This window comes from Homo sapiens, chromosome 16, assembly GCF_000001405.40.
Source record: "Homo sapiens chromosome 16, GRCh38.p14 Primary Assembly".
In the NCBI taxonomy this organism is placed as follows: Eukaryota; Metazoa; Chordata; class Mammalia; order Primates; family Hominidae; genus Homo; species Homo sapiens.
The window spans coordinates 57,452,781-57,462,139 of NC_000016.10; the positions used below are offsets into that span (position 1 = coordinate 57,452,781).

The following is a 9,359-nucleotide window of genomic DNA, read 5'->3' on the forward strand; positions in this document are numbered from 1 at the left end:
GCTGTGTCCTCTTGTCTCAGGTATACAGACCAGGGCGGCGAGGAGGAGGAGGACTATGAAAGTGAGGAGCAGTTGCAGCACCGCATCCTGACGGCAGCCCTTGAGTTTGTGCCCGCCCACGGGTGGACAGCAGAGGCGATTGCAGAAGGAGCCCAGGTGTGTATAGGTGAGGGTGGGGCCACCTAACCAAGATGAGCCAGGATGGAGTCACACCAGGCAGAGCGGGGGGCCTCATGCCTTCTTCCAGTCTAGCTCAGAGCCCCTCACAGCTGCAAGATTGACTGGTTTTTTTCCCCCAATAGGGTGGAACTGGCTTTATTTTGTAGTTATAAAGAACATACCATGGAGTTGGTTCTTGGGAGTTGTGTTCTAAAGGCAATCTATTAGGCAAGAATTGTCTGTGATCAAAACTCCCATGTTTCATTGACTCTAAGATGCCATTGGTTGTAAGAAGCATCATTTTTAAATGCATCAGTAAAAAAGAAAACATACTGCCCTTCGAACTATGACAAAGCACTTCTGTGATTCACACTGATTTTTTAAAATGAAAAATATATCTGCATCTTAGAATTAATGACATATGGTGTTTGAAAACCCCCAAGAAGGCACCACTTTGGAGACCAACACATCTTATTTTCCCAGAAACTCTAATAGCATTTTCTGCATTAGTACAGACTGCTGCTTTAGATTAGGCAGCAGGCTCATGTTCAGGCCATGTTGTAGAGAATCCTCCAGCATAGCAAGATACCATCCTCCAAGAGACTGAGGGGATGACAGAGTTGCATCTTCCATCCCAGGCTTGCTGCAGGGCATCTACCCATGGACAATGGGCAAGGTTGCTGCTTTACTGAAATTTAACTGTTATTTCCTTGTCTTCTCTCACTCCCAAGTGCACATTTGGTAACAGAAGTCTCATTAGTGAAATGTGGGTGCTCTGACTCCACTGTAGGCTCATTGTGAAAACTGAACAATACAAACAAATATAAAAAAGAATGTAGAAAACACCTATAATCACACCAAAGATCATACTATCAACATTTATGCCTAGATCTTTCCAATTAAAACCCTTTATATGATTCATTCTTTAAATGTTTATTGAGCAAATAATGTGCCCTAGGCACTGTGCTAGTCCAAGAGACATGACAGGGGTCAAAGTGGTCAAGATGGATCTGCTTCCTGCCCTTGTTGAGCTTCCAGTCTAGCAACATTAATAAAATATATACAAATGTTTACTTAGAAGATGTGGTAAGTGCTATCAAGGAAAGGTGCTGTTGGGCTGTATAATGGAGGGACCCGATCATTAGATCAGGTCACAGCTGCGAGATTGACTGGTTTTTTTCCCTCAATAGGGTGGAAATGGCTTTATTTTGTAGATATAAAAGTAATGAACCATGGAATTGGTTCTTGAGAGTTGTGTTCTAAAGGCAACCTATTGGCAAGAATTGTCTGTGATCAAAACTACCATATTTCATTGACTCTAAGATGCCATTGGTTGTAAGAAGCACCATTTTTAAGTACATCAGTAAAAAAAGAAAACATGTTGCCTGTTAAACTATGACAAATAGTCTAATTTGTCCTATTAAAGGGTTGGAGGGCTGGGCACAGTCGCGCATGCCTATAATCCCAGCACTTTGGGAGGCCAAGGCAGAGGGATTGCTTGAGCCCAGCAGTTTGGGACCAGTCTGGGCAACCTAGGGAGAGACCCCATCTCTACAAAAAATACAAAAATTAGCCAGGCATGGTGGTGCTTGCCTGTGGTCCCAGCTACCTGGGAGGCTGGGGTGGGAGGATCTCTTGAGCCTGGTAGGTCAAGGCTGCAGTGAGCCATAATGATGCCATTGCACTCCAGCCTGGGCAACAGAGTGAGACCTTGTCTGAAACCATATATGAGGTGGGTAACAGGGTGGTCAGGAAAGGCTTTTGAGCTGAGAATTGAAGAATGAATAGGCTTTACCTGACTTTGTGGGTAGGAGATGGACAAGTCCAAATACAGAAACTGCACAGGCAAGGTGGAAAGAAAAAGAAGGATGGTACGTTAGAAGAACCACAGAGAACCACCATGCAGAGAGTGCAGGAAGAGAGATTTGAGATGAGCAAGGCTGGAAAGGTCAGTCGAGGTCAAATCAGGCAAGGTCCTAAAGGTCATGATGAGGAGTCAAGCTTTTCTTCTAAGAACAATTGAAGATATTGGATTAAATTTGGCATTTCAAAATGCTCATTTTGGCTGCCAGATGAAAAGTGGATTGGAGGCAGAGAGAGACTCATTGGGGGCTGCTGCCAGACATACAGGAGAGATGAGGTGGTCTGGCTTAGAGTAATGGCAGTGGGTAAGTTCAGGAATAGCTTGGACATGGGAGAGAGTGACAGGATGGCACCAGAGTTGCAAGTTTGCATGTGTGGGTACCCAATGGTGGTGTTTTCTAAGGTGAAGGCCATTGGAAGAGGACCAGCTTTGGGGAAGGGTACAGTCTTGATCCTTGTTGAGTATGAGGAGTTTTTGAGTCAACCAGTGGAGGCATCAAGCATACAGGTCAGGAACTGGAGGAAACAGCTGGACTAGAGATACACATTTGGGCATATATATATATATATACAGTATATATATGCACGCTGATTTTATATATATATATATATATAAAATAATTATGGAAGTCAGTGAGATTGTCCAGGGCAAGAATATAATGTCATATGAGAGGGGAGTCCAGACTCTCAAGGAACGCGGACATTTAAGGGGAGAGTAGAATAGGATGGGCCGTCAAAGTCTAAGTCAGAGCATCCTGATGTTGGAGGCAAAGCAGGAGAGTGTGGATTAAGCAGCTAGACATTGGTTACTGGGGCAACAACCGTTTGGGTGGAGAACTGGATCAGAAATCAACTGGAGTGGATCGAGGTGTGCATAGAAGGCGAGGAAGTGGCGAGGCGTTTGGCTGCGAGGGGTAGAACTAGGGTGCACCAAGCAGGAGAAACAGATGGAAGTTTGGACATGATTGAACACAAATGGGAAGAGTACAGAAACAAGAGTGGACCAGGCTCATATGTGTAATCCCAGCACTTGGGGAGGCTGAGGCGGGAGGATTGCTTGACACTAGGAGTTTGAGGCCAACCTGGGCAATATGGCGAGACCCCATCTCTACAAAAACATTTAAAAATTAGCCAGATGCGGTGGCGCATACCTGTGGTCCCAGGCTAAGATGGGACGATTGCTTGAGCCCAGGAGGTCAAGGCCTCAGTCATGCCACTGCTTGAGTGACAGAGCAAGACACTGTCTCAAAAAAAAAGTAAAAAGAAAAAAGAAAGAAACAAGAGTGAGGGTGAATTTACAAGAGAAAATAGTCAAAATCAAGAGGATGAGGTTCCTTGAAGGCAAGAATTGTGGGATCTGGACAACAGTTGGAAGGACTGGCCTTAGATGTGTTAGGTGCAAAGTTGGAGAAAGCAGCTGCAGGCTTAGTTTCTAAAAAAGAAAGAAGACCTGTTGATATGTTCATCCCTGAGCTAGTCTCTGTGAACTTGTTATTCAAGCCTAGATCCCACTCTTGCACACACACCAAGGGGCTTTGCAGGGTGGAGGGACCGGTGGTGGTCAGTTTCACCAAAATCACATGGACCCAGAGTGAAGAAATCAAGCTGCTGTCACTAGGAAGAGGCTCTAGTGATGAACAGGCAACAAATGTACCCTACACTTGGGCACCGCTTTTCTGTTTTCTGTCTCCCCTTTTGTAGTCTCTGGGTCTCTCCAGTGCAGCAGCCAGCATGTTCGGGAAGGATGGCAGTGAGCTAATACTGCATTTTGTGACCCAGTGCAATACCCGGCTCACACGTGTGCTAGAAGAGGAGCAGAAGCTGGTACAGTTGGGCCAGGCGGAGTAAGTCCCATGGCATTACTACTCAGGGTGGCAGCTAAGGATCAGGGAACTTGGGCCCTACCAGCTATGCCCAGGAGGCCAATCCAAGCAGAACCCAAAGAGAGCAGCATTGGGCAGCCCTGCTGCTGTGATGGGACTGAAACCTGGCAGCCTGTCTCTGACGGCTTTAGTCAGGCCAGCGTCAGGAGCTGGTGGGACCCTCCTCCCTAGGGCTGAGTAAACCGTGGAGCACTGAGCCCCTGCCTTTCACTCAGAGACACACTGTTTTCTTTTCCCTCTTCCAGGAAGAGGAAGACAGACCAGTTCCTGAGGGATGCAGTGGAAACCAGACTGAGAATGCTGATCCCATACATTGAGCACTGGCCCCGGGTACCAAGTCTATATCCAGGCCCCAGAGCAACAATAATCCTAATATTTATCATTCTCAGCACCTTTCACTCAGATGACTTTGTACACTGTTCAGAACTTAGCTTCTCAATCTCTATAAACCCGACAATACTTAGTACACTTGGTAAAGCTGGGTTTCAAACTTGGACATACCAAAGAGAGTGACTGAGCCATCTGTGTCTCAGTTCTTGGAAATGTGAGTGGTCCGGGTACTGGATCCCATCCTGGGTGGGGTTCTCCTAGTGGTCTGAGTGTGCCACCAGGTCTGCAGGGAGGAGGAATCCATGCAGGAGGTTAGAAGAGTCAGAAGATTTTATTGGCTGTCTTCACTTGAATAACAGCCCTGTGGCATTTTAGATCTCGAGCACTGGGATTTGTCAATTGTCAATGTGATGCTTGGGGACTGGCATATTCGTTGCAAGGGGTTTTTTCACCTTTTCTGAAGCTTCCTTTTTCCTCTGTTTTAAAGCATATCACAGTATGGGCCATTCTCTGAGTGAAGAAAGTACAGAGTGAAAGTACACCCGAAGTGAGAGGGACTCAGACATCTTGTGTCCTTTGCTCAGCTGGAAGACTACTAAGCACGTAGTTTCAGTCATTCAGTTGATAGACATTTGAACACTTATGGTGGTGCCTAACCCCAGGCCGAGTGTGACTCATTCCACCTTGCAGTTAAAGCAGTGGAAGTGCACGTATGAGGCCCTCAACTGCCTTCCTGATTCAGCATAGTGTTTTCTTCTGGGCTGCTTCACTAAGAGAAAACCTTACAGCCAATCCAGGACCTCTCTGATCACCTCCCCAGTGGATGTAGCATTGGTAAAGTGGAAGGACCTTGTTCTGTTTGTCAGTAGGAGCTGATGTGTGTGAACGGACTCCTATCTCTGCTTCTTCCTTTGTGTGACAGACTGGGGTATCTTTGCCCATCCTTGCTTAGACCAGTCTAGACCCTCTGGCCCTCTGCATTCCCAGTTCCAAATGCTAGGGATGGAGAATGTGCTTGGGCTTGCATAAGACGGGGCTATGCCCCTGGCTCTCCTCAGCTGTAGTCAGCATTGCTAGCTGCCCACAACTCACGCCAGTGGGTGAAGATGCTGGTCTCAGAGAACCAGAGCTTGGCAGGCCCCCTCATACACCTCTTGGAGAGGTAGATGCTGGTCAACTATGCACCATTACCTGTGAGCAGAGCTTACTCCTCTGCCATTCTCTCTCCAGGCCCTCAGCATCCTCATGCTCCCTCACAACATCCCGTCCAGCCTGAGCCTGCTCACCAGCATGGTGGATGACATGTGGCATTACGCTGGGGACCAGTCCACTGATGTGAGTGCTTTCTGCAGGCCCACAGGAGGCTGGGAAAGGCTTGTGTTAAGCATTTCTTCAAGAAGCTTGTGAAATTGCTTTGATCATAAGCCCCTGCAGGGGGGCTGCAGTGTCATTCCCATCTAAGGTATGAGGAAGGTCCGTCAAGAAGCCAAAGTGGGATCTAGGTCATCTTCATTCAGGGACCAGCATTCTAGCCACAAACCAGTTATTATTTCTTCCAGCTTGTGGTGACACCAGGTGTCAGAGATCCTTTAGCATTGGCGAAAGCTAATTGGGCTGCCATTTTATTATCATTTCCCTCTCTCCTAAGATGTAGATTCTGCAGCAAAATTCCTCTTTTGAAAAAAAGAAATGCCATGGAGGCACCCATTGCTTTAAAAAGAAATTCCCTTCCCCAGCCCATCTTGGCCTGCTTTGCTAAGTGATCAATAAGGCTCTTTAAACAGCACCAGGAAAGAATCCGACTTGTTAATGCTATCATATTTCTGGTAGGAAATTTTAAAAAATACACCTTCATAAAAGAAAATGTGATGATACTTTGTGGAATCCTGGATGAGGAGGCACAGAAATACTCCCACCATAGTTATAACAAAGTGTTTTAATAAACTTCCTCCATGTGGGAATATAATGCCAACAGAGACGGTAGGAAAATGAAATTAGAAAGCAAAGAAATTAAAGGAATAAAACACCAAGCAGCTGAGCTGGTCCTCTGAAGAGTAGTTTGCTAGAACAATCAGAAGTTGCTGAGGGACTTGAACTCTCAGCTTTGCCCAGGTATTGTAATCTGTCCATGAGCCTCTCTCAGCCCTCACTTTATTGATGAACACACCAAGGTTCGGTCATAGCTGGCTGATTACAGCGTCTTCTGGGACTCAGATGTCTTAAGATGTAGGCTTTCTACTAGCAGTTCCAAAATGGATTGGATGTAGCCAAATCATCTGGGATACTTATTAAGTTTCCTGATTCCTGGCACTTTATTTAGATCCATTGACTCTACTCTTAAGAGGTTGGGCCCAGGAGCTTGCATTTTTAATCAAGTAGGTAATTCTGATGCTCAGTCAAGTTTGAGATGGTAGTGTTGTCCAGAGGGCCAGATGTATCTGTGACAGTCAAGAAGTAGTCAAGAGGGAACCCAGGAGTTCCCATGGCCTTGGGTAGGAACTGCCTCAGACTTGCACCAGCCCACAGCGGTAGTGTGGGTTTCTTTACAGTTTAACTGGTACACCCGCCGAGCCATGCTGGCTGCCATCTACAACACAACAGAGCTGGTGATGATGCAGGACTCCTCTCCAGACTTTGAGGACACTTGGCGCTTCCTGGAAAACCGGGTTAATGATGCAATGAACATGGGCCACACTGCCAAGCAGGTAGGTGGGGACTAGCCATTGGGGAACCCTCTTTAGAAGGCATACCTATTCTCCTCAGGTCACAGCTGGTCTTGCTCCCTTTTGGCCTCAGCTGACAGTCCTGAGGGCCTTCCCAAGGGCCTGGCTGGTTCTTCCTCAGGCCAGCCCTTCCCTAAGAGCCACACTTTGCTCATTTGCATTTGTGATTGTGTTGTCCAAAGCTCTCCTTCCAGTAACGTGGCCCCCTTGTCTTCACCTTTTGGGGCTCATAGGCCTCCTGATTTGTCCTGCCTGTCTCAAGTTTAACTTTGTGTTGGTGGCCTAAGGGAACCTGACACTGACTCCTTCTAGGTAAAGTCCACAGGAGAGGCACTGGTGCAAGGACTCATGGGTGCAGCAGTGACGGTGAGTACTGCCCAGCACATCCCTGCCCCTCCTCTCTCCCATTCCGGCTCTGTGATACATGTGTTACTGACTTCACATCATTTTGTAGCCCTAACCTGGAAACAATAATCTAATAATAAGGCTGACAATGGTTCAGCCCTAGTGTCTTGATTCCAAAAACCTCACTTCTTTATTTTTTCCTGTCATCAGGAGATATCACTGACTCCTGGGACCCTGGTATATCAAGTCTCTGTATCATAGCCACACCTGCCACCTTGCAAACCTGGATCTTGGCCAGGTGCAGTGGCTCATGCATATCATCTCAGCGATTTGGGAAGATCGCTTGAGCCCAGGAGTTTGAGGACAGTCTGGCCAACATAGCAAAACCCTGTCTCTATGCAAAAAAGAAAAAAAAAAAGAGAAAAAGAAAAGCTAGGTCTTTTCTATTAGAGTCTAGAGGCAAGGTAAGCCCTCACTATTCTCTTTATTTCCATTCCCGTGTCAGCTCAAGAACTTGACAGGTCTAAACCAGCGTCGGTGAGAGGAAGGGGTATAAGCTACAATGCCTAGAAGAGAATGAGCGGACAGATTGAAAGAGCTTTGAAAAGTATAAGGTGCCATCCACATAACCTGGTGTTCACGAGAACACACTAAAGGACTCCTGAGTCACTACCACAGCCACCTGGAAACCACAAGGCATTTGATGCTACCGTTCTGGTCAGGGATTGGGCTGCTTCTTCAGTTCCTAATACCAGACCAAGCCTCCTGATGCCTTTCTGCACTGCAACTGTGTGATTGAAAAATGAGATGTTCATCCAAGCAGTCAAGCCACAGAAACCCAGCATGTCCCTGTCACAATCTCATGGGCACCTTGATCATGTCTTAACCTTCCCTTAACCTTGGGGCTCCCAAGCCAGAGTCAAGGTCTGACGCCACCTCAAGGTGACAGCTCATCTCCAGCACAGCACAGGCGTGTGCACACAGAGGTGTTCCTTGCAGCCCCCTCCCTCTCAGGTGTCCTGAGATGCTGTTCCTGGGAGCCCCCTCAGAAAACTGCCTCACCTGAGACAAGTGCCTGCTGGACAGAGGTGTGATTCCAGGCCTGGTGTCACATGACACCAGCATGCATTGCAGGATTATTAGTGTATTTTGAGTCTGTAAAAATAATAAATATGTTTGAAGTAGTTTCCCATTGTGTAGTTAGTTTCCTTATCAATCATGATAGGTATCCAGGACCCCAGAGGGAGACAGGTTAAGTTATGGCAGCCAGGAGACCTGTGTTCTGGCGCTGCCACTGCCTAATACATAGTGGTAATTATAGTACCTCTGCGTCTCTGGGCTCAAGTCTTCCCATCAGTAAAATACGGGTAACAGAAGCCTTCCCACAGACCATCAGCTCCCTTGGCTGCTCTTGTCTGACGATTTTAGTGGTACATTCTTTAGCCCCAGTAATTTTCTCAGCCTCTACACTGGCTGGGTTCCCTTTGCACGTCTGGTTAGCTCTGTTTTCTGCTTTGCTCTCTTCTGCCTGTCAGCTGAATATTAATGGGGGAAAGTCAGCAACTAATTGAATTTCAGATCTCTTGTGGGTCTTCCACTGGATCTTTTTTGCACCTCTCAATTCCTTGTATCTCTTGACATCCTGTGAAGTTTTCGCAGTAGCTGTTCCAGTTTTCATTGCATTCTCCTTTTTCCTTCATAGCATCCATCTTACACTCAGCAGACAACCATAATTCTTAATTTACCAAGATGACACAGGTTATGGAGCAGGGTTCCATCAGTGCCCACCCTCTGTTTCAGGAAGAGGTGTCACTCTTTGCAAAGGCAAACTCCTCTTTATCTGGTTACTCTTCTCCCAACTCTTAAATGTATTTCCTGCCACGTTCTATTTTAGAGCTTTTCTCTGTTGGAGCAGCAGCCACTTTTTTTGAGGCCCATTTAAACCTCTCTCCAGTCTGTTTAGGGGACTTCAGTAGTTCTTTGTTGAGCATGCACCCCACATGGTGCCCACTGCCAGGCACTGGGGATGCAGAGACAAAGAGTTCCCACTCACCCA

General features: G+C 46.8%; 1 protein-coding gene across 1 annotated transcript in view; it reads left to right on the forward strand.

Annotated features, from left to right (window-relative positions):
- Window positions 1–8,490, forward strand: part of COQ9 (coenzyme Q9) — a 13,792-nt gene extending 5,302 nt beyond the window's left edge. The window contains exons 3-9 of the mRNA NM_020312.4: window positions 21–156; window positions 3,724–3,866; window positions 4,151–4,235; window positions 5,466–5,570; window positions 6,785–6,940; window positions 7,271–7,324; window positions 7,809–8,490. Coding sequence (NP_064708.1) covers window positions 21–156; window positions 3,724–3,866; window positions 4,151–4,235; window positions 5,466–5,570; window positions 6,785–6,940; window positions 7,271–7,324; window positions 7,809–7,844 — 715 coding nt within the window. The 3' untranslated portion in view covers window positions 7,845–8,490. The remainder of the gene's footprint in view (window positions 1–20; window positions 157–3,723; window positions 3,867–4,150; window positions 4,236–5,465; window positions 5,571–6,784; window positions 6,941–7,270; window positions 7,325–7,808) is intronic.